Raw genomic sequence first — 27,166 nt, 5'->3', positions numbered from 1 at the left:
CCCAACTATCTCAGAAGGAACTGCCATGCAGGCTGTAATTGTTTCCTGTGTATTCCATCCATTAATGGGAACTTGGATTCCCCGGCTGGGTGCTCTGTGAGGCTTCAGGTAGCAATTTTCCATTTGTGTTTCAAATTTTAATGAACGCACCTGTCCCCTGGGCCCTCGTTGCAGGCTGTAATCCTCATGGAGTGGGTCGCAGGCATGTCACCCAAGGCTGGGCTCCAGCGGGATTTCTACAAGGGCTTGATTTCTCTAGGGAATAGCTCCGACGAAAAATGGTCCATGCCACAGCCTCCTCCACCCCCACCACCCCTCCCTGCTGGCTCAGTGTCGAGCTGGCTGCAAATCGTAAGATTATTATTTCTTTCCGACATCCCCAAAGTATCCTATATCCCAAGATGGAGAGTAAAGTTCAGCTCTGATAAGATTGCATCACCGGGGAGGAGATACATTCGCGCCCTTGCTCCCTCTGCCTCTGGCTAACATAATTCCTTTCTGATCTTACCCAGGGCATCCAGTCAGGCTGGGAGGCAAACAGGATAATCCATTTTAGAGAGATTGATCAATATCGTTAGGAGCTTTTTAAATGGTTCCACAGGCTTCAGGGAGCCAAGGCAGACGGCTGAGCTGGAAATCGGGGGCCGGAGGAGGCAGGACGGCAGGCGCTACCCTCACGGATTTCCAGACAGTCCTGCCATTTCCTACCAGGCTTCAAGAGCTGGTTCCAATCAGGGCAGGAACGCTGGGTACATGCGGGCAGGTTGTGCACTGCACAAGGGGCTGGGCAAAGGGGAACAGCAGGCTGAAGTCTAGCTGACCTTTCACTCATCTTGCCAGTGCCTGTCCACACACAGGAGGAACCCCTTTTCTAATGTGCAGCAAGGTGCCCTACAGGCCACGGCTGGTCCTGCTGGCAAAGGACAGAGGTGTTTCGTGGCTCCCAGCTGCCTAGCATTCTGGGTCCTGTTTCCCAGTAATCAGGAAGACAGCCTTTCTGGCAAACCTCCTCTAGCTAGACAGTCTAATCGGTGAGGTTCCGGAAGCCTCCCTGTTCCGTCTCCACCTACCCTCCCCTAGCCTACCCCCAAACAGGCCTCCATATTCCAGCCAGGGACACCTAAAGCCAGGGCTTAGAAACTCACGTGCTGGGAGGGCCAGTTAGGCAAGGAAAAGGGGCCCCGTAGTGGGGGTGGGGGGCTAGAGCAAATAGGAGGGTGCCTGCCCTCTCGGCATAGCAGGGGCTGCTCAGCTGCCCCCAACAGGTGCCAAGGGGGAGCACAGACCCAGGGTACCAGGAGTTTTAAAGAGAAGCTGGAACTCTGGGGTTTAAATGTGGGGAAGAAATTTCTTTGTTTTTAATTGTAAATATTGGCAATACATCTTAAAAAAATAAATAAAATACTGTGTAGGAGCTAAGAAAACATGGCTGCAGGCTGAGGCCTGCTGAGGCCTTCCACCAGCTGCAACCCAGAGACTCTGCCCCTGTCTCCTGGGCCGCTGCTCGCTTGCCACGGAGCCACCGACGTGGCCTTCCGGGCCACACACCGATGGCACAGCTTCTCTGCTGAAAACCTCCTGGCGGCTTGACACCCCCACCCCCACTCCAGTCCCACACACGATTAACCACCTGCACATCCGGAATTGGACCAAGTCTAACCCGGTCCGACCCCCCTGGACAACTGCAGGCGCCGCCTCACTGGCCTCCTGCTGCTACCCCTACAGTCAGTTCTCAGTACTGCAGCCTGAGGAGGCCGGTCCACCAAGATGAGGGTGCCTCTGCCCAGAACCCTCCATGGCTCCCATTTGATTCTGAGTAAAGGCCAAGTTCTTACAATGGCCTCTGGGGTCTTGAGCTATTTTCCTCCCACTCGCTGATCTCCTGGCTTTCACTCCCGCCCCAGGGCCTCTGCACCAGCTCTTCCCTTTTTGCCTGTCTTACCTCCTCCACGAGGCAGCCACATGACCAGAAAGGGCTTTATCAATAATCATGTTGGAACAAGAGGCATCAGCTTGCACTTCCCCCAGACGATAAGACATCCCACCACCCTTGGTTTCTTCTGTGCTCTGCCAAAGGGTATCAGAAGGCCCTTCCTGACCACCCCATCAAAAAACAAAACAAAACAAAACAAAACAAAACAAAACAAAACAAAAAACAGCAATCCACGGCTGGGTGCAGTGGGTCAGCCTGTAATCCCAGCACTTAAAAAGGAGGCTGGGGCAGGAGGATCGCTTAAAGCCAGAGTTTTGAGACCAGCTCTGGCAACATAGTGAGATCTCATCTCTACTAAAAATTAAAAAAAAAAAAAAAATTAGCCGGGGGTGGTGGTGCACACACCTGTAGTCCCGGCTACCCGGGAGGCTGAGGTGGGAGGATCCCATGAGCCCAGGAAGTTGAAGCTTTAGTGAGCTAGGGTTGTACCAGCTGGGTGACAGGAAAAAACTCCAACTCAAAACAAACAAACAAACAAACAAACAAAAACAACCCCAGCCATCCCTGCCCTGCTCCCCCAATCCTTACTCTTTTATATCTTCCCCACATCGCTTTTCAACATCCAACCTAACACATATTCATCTGTTGATCTGTTTGTTCGAGGCCCTCATTGCACTGCACGCTTCACGGGGGTGAGAATCTTGTCTGTCCAGCTCACGCCCACACACCCAGGTTAGAACAGTGCCAATGGCTGAAGGCCTCCTCCCTGTTTGCAGGGTTTGTGCAAGCTGCTTAGCCTGATGCTGGGGCCCCCCCACACCCCTGCCCACCTCTGCAGCTGTCCTCGTCTCTCCCTCTGCCGTGAACTGCTGGAGTGTGAGAACAGAACAGACACACATGCTCCTCTCTCTCTTCCAGGAACGGCCTTCTCCTCCCCACCTACCAGGCAAACTCCTATGCGTCCTTTAAAACCCAGTGAGGAAATCTCTTACTTCAGGAAATATTCCCTGACTCTGTTCCCATTCCACCAGTTAATCCCCCTCCTTCGACGGTCACTCCTGTATATGTCTGTGCTACCATTCACAGCTGTCCACGTCCATCGGTGTGGGCAAGCCCGTGCGCTCTCTTCCAGAGCACAGGCTGTGCAATCAGCCCACTTCCCCGGCCCGCTGCTGGCCCCACATTCCCCTGCCAGGGCTGCCGGCCCCGCTTCCCACCGGGGTAGGCTGCTGGTCCCGGAACTCCATTCACCCATTCACCGCTGCAAGCCCCTCCCGGGGCAGTGTGGCGCGGGTGCGTAGGAAGTAACCGCCTCCCCAGCACAGAGCAACTGCCTTTTTGGCAATGCCCGTGCAGCAGGGAAGAGGGTCAAGAGCCTGGCTCTGGCCCCAGCTCTGGGCATGTGGCCTTTGTCCTCAACCCCTGCCTCCCCGGTAATCCCGGTTCATCCCAGCCCAGCTTCTTCTCTGGGAGAGGTTCTTCTGAGGGCGAACCTCTTCAGCATGGTCCTTTCGGCTTCCCTCCCTCCCGGCAGGGGCAGTGGCCTTCTCATCAATCACCCGCCTCACATGACGCCCTTTAACACGCGCGTGTGCACAGGTGGGCGAGGCCGGAGCCAGCCCCTGCGCGCCCACGGACCAGTGGGGAGACAAGCCCAGGCAGCGGTTCCTCACGAGGGGGAAGCATGACAGGCCTCGCTGCAGCTCCCTGGGCTTCAAGTCAGGCCGCTGCTCAGGAAGACAGAGGAGGTGGGGCGCAGTCCACGGCCTCATCGGGATCATCCTGACCGGAGAGGTGAACGCAGGGAGAGGGCCACCCCCTCCCCAAATCCCTGCACCACGGACAATATTTTTACAACACTGTTTTGGCACTTCCACTGTGAACTTAATTTAACATCCATATTGCTGCTACTTAATTAAATAGATGAACTCATTTTACATTTACAAGTCTTAATTCATCCTGAACAAAATTGGCCATGTTTAGTTCTTTATACACTAGCAGCTCCCTGGAACAAATGGTGACCTTTTCCAGTTAACGGTGGGGACAGGTTAAAAGCTAATTATCGGCTCTGGTCGCCTGTAAGAGAGCGAGCGGACGTCTTTATCCATCATCAGAAGTGAGGGGAGAGGTGGCTGGTTTGAATTCTTTCTTATGCAGTCACAGGCAGCCAAGCTGGCAGGCGGCGTAGACCTTGCCCAGATCCCTGATAGTGGGCAGGTGGTCCCACCCCTCCCCATCCCTGCTCTCCACCCACATCCCACACTGCCTGTAACCACTGCCCTGTCTGTGCTGTGTCCCTTTGGCCTGCCCGGCTGACCCAGCCTTGCTCCCAGGCAGCCGCTGCCTTTGAAGATCCACCTCTCTCCCCACAGCCTGACCCTTCCAGACCACCCTGCCCTGGATTCCAGCAGTCCTGGCTGCTGGCGCGCGTGGGACTGGCCGTTCTTCTCACCCTGTGCAGACAGTGGGGCACGCACTCTACTTCTGCAGCTCCTGAGGGTCGGGGGCCAGTGGCACAGCGGCCTGGGTCCCCAACATTGCCTTGCACGCCCCATCACTACAGCTGGCAAAAGGGAACAGCGAGTCCCTATGTTGAGGGACTGTGGAGAGGGTTCTCGAGCTAATCCCTGGGGAGGAGCTGGGCCTGGCACACAGTAGGTGCTCAGTGAATGTGTCTTTTGCTGCTGAGCACAGGGTGGGGGTGCAGAGATGTCCGGCTGGTGGGCTGCGAGTCAGGTGTCAGGCTCAGGTGCCTGTCTCTCAGCAGCTGTACCAGGTGGGGACTGTCTGCACCCAGGAGCCATGAGCCAGGGGACAGGGAAAGTTGCACGGTCCCAGGACCCTTGCTGGAGGCATCTGGCAGGTCCCTGCCTTTCTACCCCGGCAGAGTCAATGCAGCCAGTCCAAGGCTGCTGGCTGGTGTCCGAAAAGGCTGATGGGAGGCTGGAGGGCCGCGAGCTCAGGCTCAGCCACCAGTGAGGTACCCAAGGCAGCCAGTGCTCCCTCTACTAGGCAGGCAGGTCCTATTACTACCCCTGTGGGATGTGGGTGGCATTATAGGAAGAAACTGGAGCCCAGCGAGGTTAAACAGCTTGTCTGGGGTCACACAGCTAGCAACTGTGGAGATAGGATTTGAGCCCAGACATACTGATGGCAAAGTCCATGGTCTAATCACAAAACACACTGCCCCCTGAGGGACAAATGGAGCCCCCTAAAGGCGGGTAACTCTGTAGTCTGGGCTCTGTGACGTTAACTGGTCCTCAGGCATGTGGGCAGTGACACCCCCCATTTGGGGGATCAGCTCCCACACCATGAGGTATTCACCCCCACAGGAAAGCCTGCCGGCTGGCTGGGCATCATGAGCAGGGTAGGAGGGAAACTGTGAAACAAGGAAGCCTAGGGCCAGCCTGGCCACCTCGCTCCTTCTCAGCATCCTGGATTTCCCCAACGCTGGGGAGATGACAGCCACGCCGACAGCTGCTCTCCCACAGCCGCCCTTCCCTCGGGCTGAGCCAGCCGCACTGGGCCCACAGCTAACAGAGGGGTGTTGATCCCAGGAGACGGGCTGTCTGTGCCCCCGGCGGTCACCTCACCATCAGTGGGGGGGGGACAAGTGAGCCAGAGGAGCCCAGCTGCAGGCAGAGGGGCAGCTGCTGCCAAGGTGCCCTCCCCGGCTGATGAAACCACTGGGCCGGCCAGGGGCCAGTTACCCCCTGGCCCACTGCCCTCAGGTTCCCTGTGGAGGCCAGGAGGCTGGCGAAACCCCCCGGGCCAGCAGACGTGGTGACGCAACCACGAGGGCCGATTGCAGCAGAGGCTGCGGGCAGCCAGTGAGACGGCCGGATCACCCCAGGGAGCAGGTTGTTTGTTTGGGGAAAGGGGAAGCGGGCATGGCGGGGACTCACTCATTCATGTTTAATCCTGCTGGGCTCACTAATGGCAGCCTCCATGGCCTCGGGGGCCTCGGGAGATCCCAGCAATGCAGAGATGAGGCAGGGCTGCTGCAGACAAGCCCAGGACCATGGACCGGCTGCCTCAGTTTCCCTAGGGTGTAAATGTCCTGCCCCTACCTCCCACCCATACGGGATGTGATGAGGCCATCAGATGCCCCTCGGGGGAAGTTGACTGGCCCCGGTGCCCTCTCCCCCTCGTGATTACAGGCCTGGCCTCAGGCTTCCTGGCCCAGGAATGCAAACAGGTCAGGACAGTGTACACACACCTGGCTTCCTGGCCGAGGCTGACAGCCCCTCCCGGCCCAGGGCATGAGGCCTCAGCACCCCTCGGCTCCCCCTGGACCCCACCCTCACCCTCCCACACGTGGCAAGCCCGAGATGCAGACTGCAAGACCCAGGGGCTGCTACTGGCTCTGGGAGCAGGGCCCCATCTGACAACCACCACAGCCACGGCAGCCGTGCTGGCATTTAGGAGCCCTTATGTCTCTGCTATCCCATTCTGAGCTTCGCAGGCAGCCCCATTACTAGATAAGTAGACAGAGGCCCAGAGAGGCAGAGTTCCTTTCCTGAAGCCACAGAGCCGGCAAGCAGCAGGACTGGGATGGCATCTGAGGTGCCCTGGGGGTCTCAAGTCCAGAGCTCTTACCATCCCCGCCACCCCGCGTCACCTCTGCTGACATCCAAAGGGCAGAGACCTGGCCACCTGACTGCCAGCCAGAGAGAGCCAGCCACCTGCAGCCACAGGAATCAGACGGGGAGGTTTGAACGTGTAGGTCCCCTGCACCCCACCGGCCCCCAGACCTGGGCCCCGGAAGTCAGAGGGATGAGGGGCTCCTGGCTGCAGCAGCTGGCCCTGGCCCCACCACCCGGGAGACAGGGCTCAAGGCAGGCACACAGGGGTCTCGGAAACAGCATCACCCCAAAAGCCCTCCCCTCCCCAAGGCGTTCCTCAGTGGGCCAGAAACCGAGGGAGTAAGCTGCCCCCTCCTGCGCCCTCCCACCTCTGCTCAGCCTGGGCCTGTTGACCCCGCCTCCCGCAGCACTGCCCTCCAGGCAAGAGCCCCGTGGTGTTGCTGGCTCTGAACCAGACCGCTGCGCCTGAGGGCCAGCCCCTCTCCTGGGGAAAACGTGACACCTAGACTGAGCTACCAGGCCAGGCAGCTAAGACTCTCAGTGTCTCCCAGTGTTCGGGGAGGCCGCCTGCAGTGACACTGGAACCCAGGGAAGGTTTGGGGGTGGAGGCAGGCACGAGGAGGGACCCCCTCTGTCCCTCAGCCCCCTGGAACTGCATCAGCTCCAGCCCCCACGGCTGGGGCCAGGAGTGGAGTGGGAGGCGGCTCCCAGGGGTTCCTTAGCCCTGCTTCCTTCCTGGCCCCAGCCCTGGCTCCTTCCACAGTCCCTGGAGACTCTCCCTGATCTGGGGAGTGTGGCCAACTCCTCCCAACCAGGACGCTGTTCCATCAGCCAGATGGCAATGTATTTACCCAGCACCTTCCTGAGCATGGAGGATGGAGATGGGGTTTAACGAAAGTGGGAGAGGGAGCTCTGCTGGACAGGCAGGATGCCCCATGCACGCACGCACACACAGGGCACGCACAACCACAGGCACACGCATACAACACACAGAGGTCTCACACACACAGGGCACACACAACACAGTCACACGCACACAACACACAGGGGACACACAGCCACAGGCACACGTGCACACACACAGGGCAGACACAACCACAGCCACATACACACAACACACACAGGTCTCACAGCCACACACACACAGGCCACACACAACCACAACCACACGCACACAACACACACAGGCCACACACAACACAGTCACATGCACACATAGCCACACAGCACACAAAAGACACACACGCATACACACAACACGTGCCCACATAGTCACATTCATACACAATGCACAATCATACACACAACATACACCCACACAGGTCATGCAGAGTCACATGCACATACAACATACATACACAAACACAAAGTCACACATACAACACACAGCCATGCACACAACAAAGTCACACACAACACACACCCATACACAACATACTCACTCCTGACACTTATACATATATCCAACACACATTCACACCCAACACATGCACACACCCATTTACACCACACAGCACAACACACATACACACAGTAAACTCCAACACTCTGCGCAACCATCACAGACACCCACACGAGCACCCACTCACGCCCTCACACTCACGGACTCGGAGCCGGCCTGCTGTGAACCTGGGGCAAGAGATGTCACCGCCAGGTGACTCAGTTTCCCCATCAGTAGGATGCAAATTATCCCCACTTTGTGAGCCACAGATGAGCTAAGGCCGGAGACACAGGCAGTTCTCAGAACAGCACCACTGGCTGGATCCAATCACTCTCACGAGAAACGCGGGGGTGAGTCGGTTGGATGAGGCGGGCAGGAAGGTCTCCTCTGGCAGGGAGGGAGTGCTACTGACCCTGGAAGGACATGGGGAGGGATGGGCTGGGGAGGGGAGGGAGAGCTGCATCCTGGGGGCAGGGGGCTATGGGGTGGGCCCTGGGCTGTGGACATCTTTTATACCTGACCCAGTCCTGACGGCCCTGACCACAGCTCAGGCAGGCTTTGGGAAGGGCGCAGTGCAGGGAAAGAGGTGGGATACTGGACAAGCCACGGCCCGGCCAATCCCACAACTCATCCAGGGCTGTGGGAGGAGGAGAGGAGGGAGCCCCACTTCATAAGGCATCCATTAAGGCTGGTTGGGTGGGGGCTGATGAATGTCTCATTAAATCCTTAGAGCAGCCATCCGCCCAGATATGCCTGCCTGGCTTCCAAAGACCGTCTTCCCATGGGGTCTCCTGGAGTTTCTAGGAGGCTCTGGAGAGGTTCCCATGGGAGGCTGGTTCCCCTGCCACCTTTGCCAGCTAGAAGATGCCCCTGGCTTCTGTGAGCGGGGCCCAGCTTCACGCTGGCACGCTCTGTCACGGGAACACTTGGCACTGCCGGGACCTCATTAGCAGAGGATCTTACAAGAGTCGTGTGGGAACCCTCCACGACCCCCTGGGCTGAGCGCCAGCGCGCTCCGGATTTTATGGGGTGAGAACACTCAGACAGAAAGAGGCTGGCCCCTCTCAGGGCGGCTCCAGTGCACAACCAGGCCCCTGCCCTCCACAGAGCAACACACTCCTGCTCCTCCAGGCGGGAGATGGAAACCCCTTAGCCGCTACTCAGATGCAGAGGGACAGGGAGGCTGCAAACACATGTTACTGACTGCAAGGGAAGGATGCCTGAGCAGGAAGGGGACTTCAGGGACACCACTGTAAAGAAGAAGATACCGAGGTCCACAGAGGACCCAAACGTGCCCAGAGCTGAACTGCTGCAGGTAAAGCTGGGCCTGAAACCCTGGCCTATTGATGCCCGCAGGCTGGGCCCTGGACAGGATTCTGCTGCAGGCAGGAGGAGAGTGAGTGTGCCCAAGGAGGCTGGGCTGGGAGGACGGCAGTGGATGGGAGACAGGAGCTTTGGACCCCATCCTGGCTGCTTCACAAGTTTGCTCTGAGCTCCAGTTCCTCCTCTACAAAGGTGAGCGCGAGGTGAGGTTTAAGTACAGGCACAGGGTCACTCTTTGGGTTTATGTCTCTAAATCTAAACAGAAAACCAGCTCCCACGCCTGGCGCCAGTGCCTCTGATCTCTGACCCTGCCCCGGGACCACATCAAGTATCAGCGGATGGCAATCGGTGGTCAGGAGTCCAAGGCCTCCCAGCACTAGTCAAGACGGAGGTGCAGCCCGGAGGTCAGGGTGTCAGCATGAGCATGTTGATCCCTGAGATCTTCACGAAGAACCCAGACAAACCGGCTCGTTGGGCTCCCAAAGGCTCCTCAACCCCGGCTGAGACTTTCCGGCCCCAAGCAAAGACCTGTTGGACCGGTCTGTCTGCCAAGCCACCTCCATCCAGGGCAGTGCTGGCCAGCTGTCAGAGGGTGGCGGGCGGGACCAGGCCCACTTGGTCCTTGGTCCTGTACTTAGGACGCTGCCCTGTTTCTCCTTCCCCCCAGGCTGGTCCCCATTGTGATCCACAAAATCTTTTTCTCTGGCAGAAAATCAGAAAAACAGAATGTGGGTGTGTGTTGGGTAGTCTTGGCTTCTGAAAGGTTGAGAATAAAAATAGGAGCAGGGGCTAGGCGCGGTGGCTCACTCCTGTAATCCCAGCATTTTGGGAGGCCGAGGCAGGTAGATTACCTGAGGTTAGGAGTTCAAGACCAGCCTGGCCAACATGGTGAAACCCCATCTCTACTAAAAAAAACAAAAATTAGCCAGGTGTGGTGGTGGGCGCCTGTAATCCCAGCTACCTGGGAGGCTGAGGCAGGAGAATCACTTGGGCCCGGGAGGCTGAGGTTGCAGTGAGCCGAGATCACACCAGCCTGGGTGACAAGAGTGACACTCCTTCTCAAAAAAAGAAAAAAAAAAAATAGGAGCAGGGCTGGAAAGATCCCTCCAAGACCCTGCATGTCTTCTCTCAGGGGTCTGCTACAATCCAAATGTTTGTGTCCCCGCCTCCAATTCCTGTGTTGAAATCCTCACCCCCAAAGTGATGGTGTTAGGAGTTGGGGCCTTTGGAGGTGATTAGGGCATGAGAGCGCGGCCCTCACGATGGGATTAAGCTCCTGTTAAAGGGTCCCCCCTTTCACCATGTGAGGATACAGCGAGAGGGCACCATCCAGGAACCACGAGGTGAGCCCTCACCAAACACCTCATCTGCCAGCACCTTGATCTTGGACTTTCAGCCTCCAGAAATTGAAGCAGTACATTTCGATGGTTGTTAAGCCACCTGGTCTATGGTATTTTGTTATAGCAGCCTGAGCTGACTAAGACAGGGTCCTGGGCCTCCCTATGCACCCAGAAGGGCCAGAAGCCCCAAAGCACCGTGGGTCATAAGGAGAAGCCTCTGGGACCCTTTCCCAAGTATAGAGGGCATGAGAGAAAGGTGCCTTCCTTCTCCTTACCCCCAGCCGGGCTTTCTAGAATCCCAGAGCACCAGTCTCAGGAAGGAAGGGGAGCACTTGGACTCCTTAGCCATGAATGACGATGACAGTGACCACAATTGCTGGTTGTGGTGATGACAACGGTGGTGATATGGTGGTGATGGTGATGCTGATGGTGGTGATGGTGATGGTGATGATGATGACAGTGATGGAGACTGTGGTGATGGTGGTGAAGGTGATGGAGACTGTGGTGATGGTGGTGAAGGTGATGATGATGGAGACTGGTGATGGTGGTGGTGATGGTGATGATGGTGGTGAAGGTGATGATGATGGAGACTGGTGATGGTGATGATGATAGTGATGGTGGTAATAGTGATGATGGTGGTGAAGGTGATGATGATGGAGACCGGTGATGGTGATGATGATAGTGATGGTGGTAAAAGTGATGATGGTGGTGAAGGTGATGATGATGGAGACCGGTGATGGTGATGATGATAGTGATGGTGGTAAAAGTGATGATGGTGGTGAAGGTGATGATGATGGAGACCGGTGATGGTGATGATGATAGTGATGGTGGTAAAAGTGATGATGGTGGTGAAGGTGATGATGATGGAGACCGGTGATGGTGGTGGTGATGGTGATGATGATAGTGATGGTGGTAAAAGTGACGATGGTGGTGATGGTGATGATACAGATGGTGGTGAAGGTGATGATGATGAGGGTCATAGGGGAAAACGTTTACAAATACCTAGAACCTAAGTGGTCCCACACTTGATACCCAGTACCTCATTTAGCCCTCACAAATCCCTATGAGGTAGTGGCTTCATTACTCCACTTGTCCAGAGGAGAAACTGAGGCACAAAATGCAAAGTGATCTGCAGCCATACATGGTGAGGGAGGCGCTGGGATCTGAACCGAGGCAGACGGGTCCAGAGTGCGCTTCTCAACACCATGTGGTCCTGCCTGGATCCAGGTCCAGAGAAGAAAAACACGAGCCAGCGGAGGACAAAACGGGGGTGTGTGTTGGGGGCCCAGGTGTGAGCCTGAGCTGGGTGGCAAGACAGGGCTTCCTTCCTGCGTGGGTATCTCACAGTGCCAGGTGTCAGTCTTGCGTAAGGATAGGTCCTTTTTATACCACAGGGGTGCTAAACCCACGGTGGCAGCTCTGGGCACACCTGAGAGCACGTCCCCTGCTTGCTGGGTGATTTAAAACAAGGCCATCCGCACACCACATTCTGGCTTTATAGACTGACTCTGAACCTCACCTATGCATAAGATGCAGCACTGAGGCGCTGCTGTCCCCATTTTACAGCTGGGGAAACTGAATCTCAGAGAGAGCAACTGCTGGCTGAAGGCAGAATTGGGGCCGGAAGCTGAATGTGACCCACCCTGAAGGCCCCTTCAGCAGCCCAGCCTTGGCTCCCAGCTGTGAGACCTTGGCCAAGTTACTTCTGCGCCTCGGTTTCCTCTGATGTAACACACACAGTTGCATCCCTGTGTGACAGCGAATGAGATGACACAGACACAGCACACAGGACGGTTCCGGCCACGCGGTCAGGGCACCGTCCTGTGGCTCCATTCCATATCTCCTTCCACAATCTGCCCCATCCATGGTGGGCACACTCATCACCCAGAGACCCCCTTCATTCTCTCTTGGGCCCTCACACCCAGAGAGAACTGACCCCGGGGGGCACACCCAAAGCCCCCCACCAAGGCGTCACTGGATCTGGGCCTGCAGGCACAGATGTCTGGGTGGCCGGGGATGGCGGGGCCGTGGCAGCAGCCTCTGCAGGGCAGTGATAGCCTGGCTGGCGCTGGCCGGCTGTGCCCAGTTCCAGCCGACGCGCCTGTCAGGGCATCTCGGGCCAGGAGCCGTGTCCCTGGTGCCCGGCTTGGGGCCGGCAGCAGGAAGCGACGGGGAGGCAGAGCCCCTGACAAAGCACACATCCTCTGTGAGCAGAGATAAACCTTGGAGGGGAGAGGGGCGCTCCATCAGCCCTGCCAGGCGCCACACACTGACGGGGCACACGCAAGGCCTTTCGCGACCACGCGGCTCCGCTTGTCGTTCTTCACGGCGGAGCCTGCTTTATCTCCCGCACAGCATGTGAGGCCATGAGGCGGACACTGGCTCCGTGCACGGGGCTCCCTTAGAAAATATTAATATGTAAATGTCACTCTCCGAAGACCAGAAATGAAATGGAATGACCGACTGCAAGATGCTCTGCTGGTGAGATAAAACGAGAAAAGAAAAGGAGAAAAGGCTGCCGGGGCTGGAGGTGGTGGCGAATGCTGAGCTTAGGCAGGCGGGGGGAGGGGAGCGTGGGATTCAGGGGCCGGTTGGTGGGGAGCAGGCAGCCACTTCCACTCTCTCCAGGCAAACCGCTTCAGCACAAGGCCTGAGAGCAGGTGGAAGCTTCTGGGCTGAGGCCCCAGTGTCTTCACCCCATCACAAGATCACACATACGGGCACTAATGTGTTACTGTCTCCAGGAGTCTGCTGGAAGCTTTTTATGTGCAGAACTCACTTGGTCACTGGCAGCTCTATTGCCCCATTTCACAGATGAGAAAGCTGTGGCACGGGGAGGTTAAGCAGCAGGACCAAGGACACATGGCTGTGCTAGAACCTAGGCCCCTGCGTGTGTCCTCAGGTAACCCATCTCCTCCCGCCTCCCACAGAGACACCAGGAGGGACCCATCTGATGGTCCCTGTGTGCTGTCGAACCCTAGGCTGCCTTCATCTCCCCAGCGAGGGGGGACACAGCCTGCCCACAACGAAGGCAGAAGCCCCCACCCACCAGGAACATCCAGAACCAAGACATGGCCGGGCGCGGTGGCTCACGCCTGTGATGCCAGCACTTTGGGAGGCCGAGATGGCTGGATCATGAGATCAGGAGATCGAGACCGTCCTGGCTAACACGGTGAAACCCCGTCTCTACTAAAAATACAAAAAATTAGCCGGGCGTGGTGACAGGCGCCTGTAGTCCCAGCTACTCGGGAGGCTGAGGCAGGAGAATGGCGTGAACCCGGGAGGCGGAGCTTGCAGTAAGTGGAGATCACGCCACTGCACTCCAGCCTGGGCGATAGAGCGAGACTCCGTCTCAAAAAAAAAAAAAAAAAGAACCAAGACACATCCCTGCCCCAAGCTGCACCCCATGGTTAGTAGGTTAGTAGGTAACGCTACGAATACCACCTGGCTCCTCAAATCAAGGTGGAAAAAATGGCAGGGGGGCCTTAGAAAGAATCCAGCCCACCTCCTGGCCCTCTAATGTTACAGCTGAGGAAACTGAGTCTCGGGTAATTTCTTAAATCTTTTTTTTTTTTTTTTTTTTGAGACAGGGTCTCCTCTGTTGCCTTGTAGAGTGAGGGCAATGGTGCCATCATGTCTCAGTGCAAACTCGACCTCCTGGGCTCAAGAGATCCTCCAAGCCTGGCTAATTTTTTTTTTTTTTTTTTTTTTTGTAGAGATGGGGGTCTCTCTATGCAGCCCAGGCTGATCTCCAGGGAATATTTAATCATTGTTGAAATATCCACCACCCCGGGCCACACCACACTCCAACATTCCCGCCCACCGCCCCCTTGAACTCTGGTGAGTGGGTGCCGGCTCTGTCTCCCAGTCACAGTCACAAGGTCACAGGTAGAGCAGCAGCCTGCCCAAGGTCCTGAGATCACAGGTGCTGGCACCAGATCACAGCCCAGCTCCGCCCCCTTCCCCAGGCCTCCCAGGAGTGAGTACTCCAGGGGTCTGGTCCCTGTGAGGCTCACGTGACACAATCTGTCCCCAGCAGGGACCACAGACTTAGCTCTGGGGAAGCTCTGTCAAGAGGGAAGACTGGAGTGAAGACCAGGGATGCCACTACCCCCAGGCCTCCTTTCCCAGCCTCGGCTGCTGCCAGGCACTGGCATTTTATTCCTCCTCCTGCCATCTCCTCTCTGCCCTTTCCCCTGCTTGCCCCCTGCCCAACGTGTGCGGTGCTGTGACAGCAGAGTGGAGTCCCAGGCTCCGGGTGGGAACAGCCACTGGCCAGAGCCGGTGGGGAAAGGCAGGCTTAAGGCCTTGGCAGAAGAGGCAGGAGGGGACCGGCTTTCTTCCCCCGTGTTTCTGGGGTGCTTAAAGGGCTCTGTCCACATGTGCTGGGGGCCACTGAAGAGCAGGTTCCAATGTGTTTCCACCCCACCCCATCCTAGCCTCAGACCTCAGGTCTGCACAGCCCAGCTGCAGGGTGCCCTGGAAGGCATCAGGGACATTTCCAACTCCAGCCCCCGCCCTCCACGCCCCCCGACCTGTTCAGGCGATCTCCCCCCACACAGAAAACTGCCTGGCCCAGTCTGGGCCCCTGGCGCCCCAGGGTCCTCAGAGGACACAGGCCAGGCTAAGACCAGCCTCTGGCCCTTCTTTCTGAGCTCCTGCCTTCCCCCACGTCCCTCCGCCCACCCGCTGCCAGATCTCATCAGCAGACTCTCAGGGTGACCCCAGGCCCCGAAGCTAAAGAAGCAGTTGTGTTTCTTCCTCACCCACTGCCAGCTCGCTACTTAACCCTGCTGAGCACGGAAGCCCCACGGCCCAGGAGGCTGGCAGGAGGAGCCTCAGGAGAGCGTGGGCTGAGACCAGGCCCCTCCTGGCTCCCCGGGCACTGCCTCCGGGCTGGAGTGCAGGACCCTGAGGACGGGGATGGGGGCAGAGGTGAGGCGGGTGCCCGCAGATGGAAACTGTGATTTCAGAAAGCTGGAATGCCGATTGGGAAACATCAGGGCTTGTTTGTCAAAGTGAGGCACACTGGGAGCAGCAAGATTGCCTCCTGGGCTCCCCGGAGGCGGAGCACCCCTGACACGTGTGCACACACATCCATAGGCATGCATTCATACACACACATGCACACACATCCACCCACACAGATATTCACATGTGCCCATGGGTACAACTGCACACACACACAAACATGCATGCACGCTCACATGCACACTCATAGGCAAACACACAAATACATGCCCACACACACGTACGGGCAAACACACGCACATGTGCATGCACACACACATCCCTGCCAAGCCTCTGACTCATCAGCGTGGCCTGCAGCTCCCAGGATCCCTGCAGGGACAGGGAGAGGAGCTATTGGGGGCTCAGGAACCTCCTGCCAAGGCCCTGACCAACCCCCTGGGGCAAGGGGCAGGCAGAGAGCAGGCACTCGGGGCCTGGACGTGTGATCTGGACTTGGGAAACCTCCATCCTGGAATGAGAGGTTTCTGGCAATAGAGGCCCTTCCCAGGGACAATGGGCGCAGAGCCTCTGAGCTCAGCCGCCTGTGTGACAAGCCCAGCAGGGTGAAGAGTGGGGCTGGCCGCCTTCCCGGAGGCCGTGCCAAGCTTCCAGCGGTGTCATTCTCCCAGGCAAGGGGGCTACACAGCCAAGCCCGCCACCTCCAGGCCTGACTGCCCTGTCCCTCCTCCAGAGCCAAGGATGCCCCAGGAGCTGCCCTGGGGTGGGGGGGGGGACTCGAGAGCATGCGGGCATCCTGGGGGCAGGACTCAGAGGGTGCAAAGGATGGGGGGGTGGTGTCCCACGAAGGAGGAAATGCAGGCAGCAGTGCAGAGGTGTTTCCAGGGAAGGCCTGGGGGTTCCTGGCCCTTCTCCCCTGAATCTCAACTGGAGGGAGAGGAAGAGCACAGAGGGAGAGGGGAAGAGAGAAACCGGGGAGGGGAGAGGGGAGACAGAAGAGGAGGAAGAGAGGGGAGGGGGGAAGATAAGAGGAGAAAGAGAGCAGGGGAAGAGGGCTGGGTGGGCAAGGGGTTCTTCCAGAAGGAGGCAGGGAGAGTGATCAGCCCTGACCTCTGCACCCAAGGGAGACTCCCTCTTTCTTCAGCCTGGAATCACCCGGGGAGCCTGGGGTCTTTTGTTTTCTTTAGGAGGCCCCAGGGATTCCAGTGTGGAGGGGTCTCAACAGGAGGATCCCACATAGCAGCAGTACCACCTGGGAGCAGAAATGCAGATGCAGATCCCGGGGCCCTGACCCAGAGTATCAGACACCGCGGTGGGGTCCCGATTTCTGCATTGTACACGTGCCCTGCCCCGGGGGGATTCTGATGTTTGAAGGAATGTGGGACCCCCCCTCCCCGGTCTGCAGTGTGCACCGGGGGTGGGGGGCTCCAAGAGCAGCCCTTTCTCAGGAGCAGGACAGGGAAGGAGTGGCCCAGGGGCCTTGCACCAGGCAGGAGGTACAGGGCCCAGGAGAGCTGTGGAGATTCAGGCGGGATTCCTTCTGCTTCCTGGAGGAGGAGGGTGAGGCCTGGAGGCAGCAGATTCCCCCAAGTCCTTCTAGAAGCTGGACAGACAAAGAAGGGGCTGGCCCAGTGAAGCCTGGGAATGTGTTTTGAGGTTGAGGAGCAGCAGAGGGGGAAGAGAAGAGAGGACGTTGGGTGCGTGAGCGGTGAGGGGGGTAGCCTGCAGGAGCCCCCCACAGTGGGGACGGCTAGTGCTTCTAGGCACTGTTTCAACCACTGTGGGAAGCTGTTCTTCCCACAATACTCAGGAGCAAATGGGGGCACAGAGACGGTAGGGCAGTGGCCTTAGGTCACCCAGCTGCAAAGTGGCTGAGCTGGGAGAGGAGGAACCAGATAGGCTAGAGTCCGGGTTCATGCTCCCAGCTGCCATCTCTGAGCCGGGAGGGAAAACCCAGGCGGGCTGGAGTCTGGGTTCATGCTCCCAGCTGCCATCTCTGAGCCGGGAGAGGGAGAGGCAGGACACAGAGGCAGCAGGAGTCAGGTGTGGCTGGGGGGTCCCTGCTGGGCCAGGTGAGGAGCTCCCCAGATGGGCTGATGGACCACAGAGCAGAGTGATGGAGACGCCCACAGGGCTCAAAACTCAGGCTGTGGGTCCCGAGAAAGCAGACAGCGGCAAGCGTACAGGACTGTTTTCAGGGATTCCAGAGCTCCCCATGGCAGCTGGGGTTTAGGGTCAGATAAAGTGTGGTGGGCAGAACACCATGGTTGTAGCTAGCCCTTCCAACTCTCTCAAGGCCTTGTCTGGTGATGCACCGCTGCCCAGCTGTCCCTGTGAGTCAGCAGGCCGGAAATACACAGGCAAGATTGGGGTCCCCCTATACCCGACCCTCTCGGACCTGCGATTAAATTAGCTTCTGTCTCCACCAACATCACTGGCTAATCAGCCCCCACCGCTCCCGTTCCCTGGGTGATGGGAGCGCTTTGATATCGGAGTGGACTCTAATGCGTGTGGTGTGAGGGACCCTTAATTTATTACGTGCCTGTAATTGATGTTTATATAAAGTAGCTCTTACAGCTACTCAAAGTAGGAGATGAAAAGCAATCAATCAGCCATTTGCCTCAGAAGAGAGGGAAGAAAACACCACACATATCAAAAGCAGTCCCCGAAAAAATCTTGGGGAAGGGGCAGGATTAGCCCGTGAGCACTTTGAAGCGTGGGGTTCCCATCAGGCAGACGGATGGCACAGCCAGGATTTGGGGAGTAGCACAGGCTGTCCTGGCTCGCAGAAGCACGGCGAGTGTGGAGTCCCTTCTGGAGAACCCAGGCCTCGCTGCAAGACGCTGTCCTGGGGCCCGACAGCTGTCCTGGGTGCCTGGCTGGTCCTGCTACCTACTCTAACTGCTTCACAGCCACCTGCTGTGTTCCCTCTGGGTCACAGCTGCGGTGAATACTGCCTGGGTCCAGGCTTGGCGTTGAGGGGGCTCTGCTGAGAGGATGACCCCAGGGCCACACCCCTGCCTCACAGCCAGGGTTTAATAATGCCCATGGTGGGCCCAGCCAGGCTGTGGACTCGCAGAACAGTGCTCCTTACACCTTGTGCAAATTCTCTCTCCTCTGCTCCCACCCACACATTGCATCCAGCCCCCGGACCCTCACAACACTGCGATGCACCTCCCTCCACTCCTGCGTGGAGACCCTGACTACAGAGCAGTGGGAGAGGCTGGGGATCGAGCCCTCCAAGCAGCCTGCAGGGGTCTCTGCCCTGCAGTGGCTTAAAACAACAGAATAGCTTCTCTCACAGATCTGGAGGCCAAAAGTTGGACATCAGTAGCACTGGGCTGAAATCAAGGCAGAGGCAGGGCCCTGCTCCCTCTGGAGGCTCTAGGGAGGCTCCTTCCTGCCTCTTCCAGCTCCTGGAGTTCCAGGTGTTCCTTGGCTTGTGGCTGCATCACTCCAGCCCCTGCGTGTCTCAAATCTCCCTCTGCCTGTCTCTTCTGAAGACACTTGAGATTGCATTTAGGCCACCTGGATACCCCAGGACAATCCCATCTCCAAATCCTTAACATAATCCCCTCTGCAAAACCCCTTTTCCAAATAAGTTCACATACACAGGTTCAGGGCATCAGGACCTGGGCATCATTTGCCAGGCCATCTTTTTTTTTTTTTTTTTGAGATGGAGTTTTGCTCTTGTTGCCCAGGCTGGAGTGCAATGGCACAATCTCGACTCACTGCAACCTCCGCCTCCTGGGTTCAAGCGATTCTCCTGCCTCAGCCTCCCGAGTAGCTGGGATTACAGCCATGCACTACCATGCCCGGCTGATTTTTTGTATTTTTAGTAGAGACAGGGTTTCTCCATGTTGGTCGGGCTGGTCTCGAACTCCTGATCTCAGGTGATCCACCCGCCTTGGCCTCCCAAAGTGCTGGGATTACAGGCGTGAGCCACTGAACCCAGCCTGGAGGGGGGAGGCATTTTTCAGCCTACCACACATAGAAAGGGAAAAGCCTTCCAGGTTCTTGCTTCTCTGAGTCCAGCTCAGATGGCCACAGAAAGCCAGGCACTTGGTCAGCACCTCTTCCATCCGTCTAATGTTCACTGAGTGCCAGGCACTGTTCTGGGCACTGAGGACATAGGAGTGAAGAAACAAGAGCGCAGCCCTTGTCTTCATGGAGCTTTACGGGTACGTGCTATTAAAGAGCAACGCATGCAAGTGGAAAAATAAAGCCAGAGAGGAACGGGGTGCTTTTTGACCCAGTTTTTGACAGAGTGGTCAAGGTTGGCTGCTTTTGGATAAAGGAGGAGCCGGGAGCATGAGCTTGTGCAGACCTGGGAACAGCGCTTCAGGGAAAGGGAACGGCAGGTGCAGAGGCCCTGAGGCTGGAGCCATGAGGCCTGTGAGGCAGGAGTAGGGCACATGGTGCAGGGAGCAGGTTGAGCAGGAGGCCTGCAGGGGTCGCGGGGGGCTCTGGGGTTCCAGGGGCAACTCTGACTTTCACTCTTCATGCATGGGAGCCGTGGGAGGGTTCCTACAACAAGGCCAAAGCTACGTGCACCCACACTTGGGGGGCAGCCTCCCTAAAAAGGCTGGGTTCCCCCTCCCTTCCAGTGTTTTCCAGCAGAGAGCCTCAGAAACAGCCCCGGCCCCTGCTGAGGTACCAAGCCCAGGGCCTGTTCTCACACACACAGCTGCAGGCACAAAGCAAGGCTGCCAGGTGTGCCCCCGCCAAGGCGGGTGCACGCAGGCCACACCGACACACACACACTGACACACACACACACAGACACACACACACGCACGCTCGGGCCCTGGTCCTGGGCTGCGGGGAAGCGGTGGGTGAGCCCAGGGGATGCTGGAGTACAGCCCCATTAAGAATTTATCAGCCCAGAGGGAAGGAGTCTTTCGTGCTGGGCCTCACACAGTGGGGTCCTCGTGGCAGCAAAACTTTGCTTCTGGGAATAAAATGGAAATTCAGCCCCCAGAGTATAATGAAAAGCCGGCTCACAAAGCACTTTCTTTCTGAGCAGCTGAGCGGCCCCCTAATGATGGGAGAGCCGAGGGGCAGGCAGGGAGCCCTGAGGGCTCCAGGGCGGGTACATCTGATGGTGGCGGCATGGGGGTGCTTGGCCCCCGGGGCCCCACCTGCTCAGCGCGGCTTGGCCTAATAAAGCCTCTCTCTTTGGAGTCACATTCAATGCGGTTCCAACAGGGAGCCATACGTCACCAAATCCGGCAAAAATTTGTGCTAAATTGAATCAATCCATCTTGGAAATGGCTCTTGTCAGCTTCTGTCAGAGGAACCGTCTGCAGGGGACGAAGGGATCAGGACGTGGGGGCTGGGGGGGTCTCCTATCCCTTCCAAACACCTCCAAGGTTCCTGCAGTCTCTGACAGAGGCGAGGAAGGGACTCACACACACACATTTACCCTCACGAATGTGGCTCATGGCACACAGTCAGGGAGAAGGCAGGCAGCCGAGGTGTGCCGTGAACAGCACACACGTCTCCCACCCGGCATGGCCATTCGGCTCTTGTTCCCCACGCTGGCCTTCAGGGCCAGCATACATCCTCAGATGGAGCCTCCTGGCCTTTCCATTCAACGTCACTCCACAGTCATCAGGCACCCGCAAAGCACCAGGCAAGCTGATGACAGCGAGGGCCAGGGGTCGCTGGCCAAACGGAGCTCGGACCCTCCAGGTGGGTGACCAAGGACGATGACCCCTTCGTACTCTGGAGCTGGCTGGGAGGGCCTTGGCCTTGGCCTCCTCGTATCTGTACCTGGAGCTGGGGGCTCCTGAGATGAACAGGACACCAGATGGGAGCCAGCCACTCCCCCATTGTTCTGAGGAGAAACTTAGTGAGACTCAGGCAGCCTCTGAAGACCGCAGCCCCGGTCCCCCACCAACACTGCCTTCCCACGACCAGGACTCTTGTTACCGCCGCCCAAAGCTGTCCCTGGCATGGATCCAACCCTTCCTGCCCCCTTGCGTCCACGTGCACCCACACATACCCACACGCCCATCAGGTGGGCAGGCCACTTTCTCCGTCACACGATAACCCCGCTCTGCCCGGCCTTCCAGCCTTTGTCCGTGTCTCGCCCCTCACCAGGTGAGCGTTTCTTCTCTACAGAGGCCACCTGGATCCCTCCTCTTCCTCAGGTCCTGGTTCAAGTCCCTCTCCCTGCTGTTCCCACCTTTGCCCAGCCCTACCAGACATATCCACTGTGACCCAGCCAGCCAGTCGCCAGTGACCAGCAGCGCTGTTGTCCAACGAACCATGTGTGCCTGCCCAGTGCACATACGCTGAGGGGGAAAGACCCTGACACACACGTTTGTACATCCCCCAGGACCTGACACCAGGCTGGGCACACAGTTACGAACCTTTCTCCTGGATGTGAAGTTCAAGGACCCCAGTTCAGGTAAAAGACAAAGCGTGATTAGCTTCCTGCTAATTTCAGTCTCTACAGAAAAACAGACCAGCACACCAGTCTCCACCAGCATACTGAGCACAAGCAGCAGCCTCCCCTCCGAGGCTGTATCTGGGTAACTATTGCCACGTGTCCACGAGGCACCTCCCCGAGGATGTTTTAGAGGCCGCGGGCCCTGCCCTGACACCCATCCAGGCCACAGCTGAGGGGGTGGACGGCTGGAGGCCCAGGCTGAAGCTCAACCACCTCTCACCCATGCAGGCAGCCCCTCCTGGCTCCCTACCCTCCATGGCGTGTGCTCCTCCTGGAGCTGCTGGCTTCTCCTCCATCCTGTCCCAACTCACCTCTCGCCCCTGGTGGTGTGGAAACAGAGCAGGGGCTAGGTAGAAGCTACCTGCGTATGTCACTCTGGAACATCACCTGTTCCGAAAAATAAGTGAGGGAGGCCGGGCGTGGTGGCTCCTGCCTGTAATCCCAGCACTTTGGGAGGCCGAAGCGGGTGGATCACCTGAGGTCAGGAGTTGCAGACCAGCCTGGCCAACATGGTGAAACCCCATCTCTACTAAAAACACAAAAATTAGCTGGGCGTGGTGACGCATGCCTGTAATCCCAGCTACTCGGGAGGCTGAGACATGAGAATCACTTGAACCCGAGGACGGACATTGCAGTGAGCCGAGATCGAGTCACTCCACCCCAGCCTGAGCGACACAGCAAGACTCCATCTCAAAAGACAAAAAAATAAGTGACGGAGTTAGAAGTCGGGGCACTGGCCACCTCGGCAGGGGGCCACAGGGGGCTTCTGGGGGACTGGGCACACTCTTTGTCATGCAGGGGCCCATTACATGGTGAGCTCAGCCCATAGAAACACACGAGGCGTGTGCTCGCAACTCTTCTGATGAATATGACGCATCCATTTCAAATTGAAAAAGAGGGAAAATGACACCTATTATAGGCTGATTTGTGTCCTGCGAAAATTGACACGCTGACATCCCAGCCCCCGGGCCTCAGAATGTGACTGTATTTGGAGACAGAGCCTTTGGAGAGGTGATTAAGGTCAAATGAGGTCACCCGGGTGGCCCTAATCCAATAGGACTGGTGTCCCCATAAGAAGAAGAGGTGTGGACACAGACCTGCACCCAGAGGGAACACGGCGTTCACACACCAAGGCGAGGGGCCCCAGAGGAAAGCAACCCTGCTCACACCTTGACTTCAGGCTCCTGGCCTCCAGAACTGCAAGGAAATGGATTTCTATTGTTCAAGCCAGAGTGTGGCATTTTGCCATGGCAGCCCCAACAGAAGAATGCAGCACCCACTGGGCAAGGGCGAGTAACCCTGCGGTCCCAAATGGGAATCCCAGCCTTCTGGGCTGCCCTCCCCACCCCGGCCCAGGAGCCTGGGTGAGGCCAGAGGAAGAGAGAGACGAGTGGGGTTTGGCCTTGTGGGGTCGCCTACCACAGCCCCCCGCTCAGTTTCCAAACCGGATACCACGTAAGCAGAATGCCGAGGACGGAGCTCTGCAGAGGGATTTATGAGCAGACAGAGAAGACAAAAGCAATCTCGCTTGACACAAATCTAGATGAATACATGGATAGGAAACCCACAGACTGGCAAATTAAAACGTGGTTCAGGGCCGGCGAGCGTCGACGACGCCCGCTGATGGATCTTCTCAGCCACACAGCCACGCCAACCAAATATGTCACCACGACATGCTCGGGAGAAACCGCAACCCCACACGGTTACCCCAGGAGGGAGGCAGAGCCACTGGTCGGCATACCACAGGCCACCAAGGCTACGGACTCCAAGCTTGCGGGGTGGCGTGCATGCAACTATGGACCATGCCTTGGAAGGAGGGGGCTGTCGGGGCCTCCCTGGCTCAACAGGGGAGGGTGGCTGAGCGATTGCTGGGTTGCTGGCACTGTCCCCTCACTAAGCTATAAGGTTTGGGGGAACAAAGGCTTCGTCTGCTATGATCACTTCCCCCAGCAAGTAGCAGGAGCTCACGGATCGGCTGATGAATGAATGAATGAATGAATGAATGACAGTGGCTGGCACAGGGCTAATCGACGTTAGCAGTTGTTATGATTACGGCGCTGCCCCCACCTCCCCAGGTTGAAATGCATTGAAATCACACCCCCTCTACATATAAGAAAACACCCGACCCATGAGAGTGCGTTTTCCCCTACCTGGGCCAACCTCCTCTTCCATCCTCAAAACACGCCTTCTGCACTAGCCACTCCAGAAGCTCCCCTGATCGTCAGCGGGCCCTGCTCTTCTGGCTCCTTCTTCGCTTGTCTTGCCCCCTTTTCCTGGAAGAACCCTTCCCTCCCTCCCTGGTGGACCCACCAGATCCCTCAGGGCTACGCTTGGACGCCATCCATCAGCTGAGCCTTCCCCACGTGCCTGCTCCTCCCCACCCCCACATACAGCCAAGCCATCCATACGGTAGCCACATGTGGCTATTTACATTTAAATTATTGAAATAAAATCAAAGGAAAAATTCAGTTCCTGGGCCTCACGGACCACATTCCAAATGCTGGAGAGCCACATGTGGCTGGCGGTGACCGTCAGGGACGCACCACACACAGGACATTGCTCCATGGATGCAGGAAGTTCCGCTGGCCAGAGCTACCATAGGAAGCTCTGCTGCACAACTGCACACAATAGCTGGTGTCTGCAGGTCACCTCCCCGGGGGTGGGTGCCTGGTTCGACTCACTGTGGAGTCCCTCTTGGAACGCGCCATTCAGGAGGCACTCCAAACCTGCACACAAACTGGAGATGTTTAGGGTGGCACCAGGTCTTTTTTTTTTTTTTGGAGACAGGGTCTCCCCCAGGCTGGAATGCAGTGGTGCAGTCACAGGTCACTACAGCCTTGACCTCCTGGGCTCATCCTCCCAAGTGGCTTGCACCACGATGCTCAGCTAGTTTATTTTTATTTTTTATAGAGATGGGGGTCTCCCTATGTTGCCCAAGCTGGTCTTGAACTCCTGGCCTCAGCCTCCCAAAGTGCTGGGGTTGCAGGTGTGAGTTACCGCACCCGGCCTACCTTTTGTTCTTAATTCCAGGGAGGCAGAGTTTCCAGAAGATTCTGTGATCATGATCACAATCATGTATTAGGGGTGTCTATACACGCCAGACCCTGAGCATGTGCCCCCCGCCGGCACTCCCAACTTCACCCTGTAATGTCCTATTTCACAGCGATGGACACTGATGCCCACACAGGTGGCACAGCTGGCACTGGAATGGTGGGTCTGACACCACAGCGGCACCTTCAAATCATGCTCTCAGGGCCTGGGCTCTATTTTGAATTCTTTGTAAGATAGGTAAGGACCATCTTCTGTGACCCTCCCCAGCCCCCAGGCAGAGTGACAGGCACCATCACAGTCCCAGGAGCACTCGCTGTGACTGATGTGGGCATGTGTGGAAGGCCTCCCGGGTGGGACTCCCACGTGCATGGGAGGTTGGGGCTGGAAGTGGTCTCGGGTGTCCCTGATCGCATGGCAGGCCCTGAAAAGTGAGGGAAAGGCCTCAGGTGACATGAACATCAGCAGATGCAGCTCATCACCCTATCACCCTGCTCTTGGGGCACCTCCCACCCACAGCACCATCCTCCCCTGGGCGCCAGAGAGTCCATCCCTAGGCACACGACAGGGCCAGGCCCAACATTGAACAAACCAGGATCCAAACCGGAAAAGGAGAAGGCAAATTTGGCCTAAGTGAGGGATGGGAGTGCTGGGTCACGTGGGGCTGTGTGTGCGTGCACATGTGTGTGCACATGTGATGCTGACGAGGAGAATGGTTGGGAACAGAAGGAACTCTCGATGCAGCGACTTCATCGTCATAACTTCCTTTCAGACCTTCATCTTCCTATAAATTATTCATGCACCAACAAGCAAGGCCAAGGACAATGCTCACATAGAGGGGCAGAGCCAAGGCCAGAGCCACCGGCCTGGAGCACCCCCCATCCACCCTAGCTCTGTACCCCCTTGTTCTGGGATATTAAAAATTCCCAGATGGGTTAAGCCAATTTGAGTCAACGTTTTCTGTAACCTGCAGCCCCAGACATCCCGACAAATAAATTTACTTAATATTTATCTAAATTGGCTCACTTGCCATTTTTTTCCTTAAATTTCTTATTTGTGTTTAAAAATTGTTTTCTTTCATCTCTTTATTTCCCAATTCTAACTATGTGGCAATCACTCACTATTTAACCCAATTGTCCCTGAGCCCAGACCCCAAAGACTCGTCGGCTTCACACTAACCGTATGCTACCTGGAAACACCTTAAAATAGCCATCAGGTGGCTGGTGAGTCAGAAGACACACACGTGTGTGCCCCTGTCACCGCTCTGCGGGCTGCAGCTGTCCTCACACCCAGCTTTGGAAAGCCAGACCTCTGGGTCTCAAAAGATCTTTCCAGATCAGGGCTCCACAATTCTGCCTCTAAGGGGAAAGTGTGTGGCCCGCAGCACGAGTCCAAACCCACCTGCTCACAATAGGCTTTGCAAACCTTCAAGTGCCCATCTTACATCGTGGGCTTTGGGGGTGGCCCTCAGGGACGGTCCACACCCACCCTCCTCAGCCCACTTCACCAAGATTCCCTCTGCTGAGCGGGGTACCTGTTCCACGCAACCTCTCTTCACACATGGACTCCTGCAGAACACTACCAGCTGGTAGGGATCAGCAGTAAACACAGGCCTGGAAGAGAGGTGCGGGCAGCACCGTGGGAGGCAGAGGGCGGGCGGAGGATGGCGCTTTTCTGCAGGGTCGGCAGCCCGGGCTCCGGTGACCACCGCCACACCTGACCCTCCCTCCTAATGAAGGGAGCAAAAAGGATGACCATCTATCTTCCGCACTGCCGGTCCTAATTAAGCGCCGGCGAATTCCCCAGCCTGGCTGCTTTCCGTCCCTGGCATAATATGTTATTTACCTGCAGCTAATGGGTTCACGGGTGATGATAGTCTTGTATCAAATGACGGCCGCTTGGCTTCTGACAGTTTTAAAGACCAGTCTCGGGGACACTACAGTTTCTAATTACAGGGTCTGTCATCGGCGAGGTTTGCTTCGACACTGCCTTTTTCTCCCTCGGGTGACACTTCTGTCCAGATAGGAAATTTAAGTTCAGCCCCGACAGTTAAGGTTAAAAATACTGCTT

General features: G+C 57.1%; 1 protein-coding gene and 1 long non-coding RNA gene across 9 annotated transcripts in view, besides 7 other annotated features; one reads left to right on the top strand and one right to left on the bottom strand.

The window, feature by feature from the left end:
- GSE1 (Gse1 coiled-coil protein) overlaps positions 1 to 27,166 on the bottom strand; it is a 506,689-nt gene that overhangs the window by 145,408 nt on the left and 334,115 nt on the right. The gene's annotated exons all lie outside the window — the stretch shown is intronic.
- Positions 4,095 to 4,710: an enhancer, noted in NCBI's record as "H3K4me1 hESC enhancer chr16:85559689-85560304 (GRCh37/hg19 assembly coordinates)". NCBI's record gives its function as "activates a minimal SCP1, AML or CMV promoter by ChIP-STARR-seq in naive H9 embryonic stem cells {active_cell/tissue: H9 hESC(naive)}" and the evidence as "EXISTENCE:reporter gene assay evidence [ECO:0000049][PMID:30033119]".
- Positions 5,327 to 5,941: an enhancer, noted in NCBI's record as "H3K27ac-H3K4me1 hESC enhancer chr16:85558458-85559072 (GRCh37/hg19 assembly coordinates)". NCBI's record gives its function as "activates a minimal SCP1, AML or CMV promoter by ChIP-STARR-seq in naive H9 embryonic stem cells {active_cell/tissue: H9 hESC(naive)}" and the evidence as "EXISTENCE:reporter gene assay evidence [ECO:0000049][PMID:30033119]".
- Positions 5,942 to 6,557: an enhancer, noted in NCBI's record as "H3K27ac-H3K4me1 hESC enhancer chr16:85557842-85558457 (GRCh37/hg19 assembly coordinates)". NCBI's record gives its function as "activates a minimal SCP1, AML or CMV promoter by ChIP-STARR-seq in naive H9 embryonic stem cells {active_cell/tissue: H9 hESC(naive)}" and the evidence as "EXISTENCE:reporter gene assay evidence [ECO:0000049][PMID:30033119]".
- On the top strand, positions 8,247 to 9,792 carry LOC124903739 (uncharacterized). Its single transcript, XR_007065159.1, has 3 exons — positions 8,247 to 8,310; positions 9,068 to 9,275; positions 9,547 to 9,792. It is a non-coding gene; the product is annotated as an uncharacterized LOC124903739 (long non-coding RNA).
- Positions 14,020 to 14,702: an enhancer, noted in NCBI's record as "H3K4me1 hESC enhancer chr16:85549697-85550379 (GRCh37/hg19 assembly coordinates)". NCBI's record gives its function as "activates a minimal SCP1, AML or CMV promoter by ChIP-STARR-seq in primed H9 embryonic stem cells {active_cell/tissue: H9 hESC(primed)}" and the evidence as "EXISTENCE:reporter gene assay evidence [ECO:0000049][PMID:30033119]".
- Positions 14,703 to 15,387: an enhancer, noted in NCBI's record as "H3K4me1 hESC enhancer chr16:85549012-85549696 (GRCh37/hg19 assembly coordinates)". NCBI's record gives its function as "activates a minimal SCP1, AML or CMV promoter by ChIP-STARR-seq in primed H9 embryonic stem cells {active_cell/tissue: H9 hESC(primed)}" and the evidence as "EXISTENCE:reporter gene assay evidence [ECO:0000049][PMID:30033119]".
- Positions 15,388 to 16,071: an enhancer, noted in NCBI's record as "H3K27ac-H3K4me1 hESC enhancer chr16:85548328-85549011 (GRCh37/hg19 assembly coordinates)". NCBI's record gives its function as "activates a minimal SCP1, AML or CMV promoter by ChIP-STARR-seq in naive H9 embryonic stem cells {active_cell/tissue: H9 hESC(naive)}" and the evidence as "EXISTENCE:reporter gene assay evidence [ECO:0000049][PMID:30033119]".
- Positions 16,072 to 16,756: an enhancer, noted in NCBI's record as "H3K27ac-H3K4me1 hESC enhancer chr16:85547643-85548327 (GRCh37/hg19 assembly coordinates)". NCBI's record gives its function as "activates a minimal SCP1, AML or CMV promoter by ChIP-STARR-seq in naive H9 embryonic stem cells {active_cell/tissue: H9 hESC(naive)}" and the evidence as "EXISTENCE:reporter gene assay evidence [ECO:0000049][PMID:30033119]".

Source organism: Homo sapiens, chromosome 16 (genome assembly GCF_000001405.40).
Source record: "Homo sapiens chromosome 16, GRCh38.p14 Primary Assembly".
NCBI classification, from domain to species: domain Eukaryota; kingdom Metazoa; phylum Chordata; class Mammalia; order Primates; family Hominidae; genus Homo; species Homo sapiens.
Note: the sequence above shows the minus strand (reverse complement) of the source record. Positions and strands in the feature narration are given on the sequence as shown.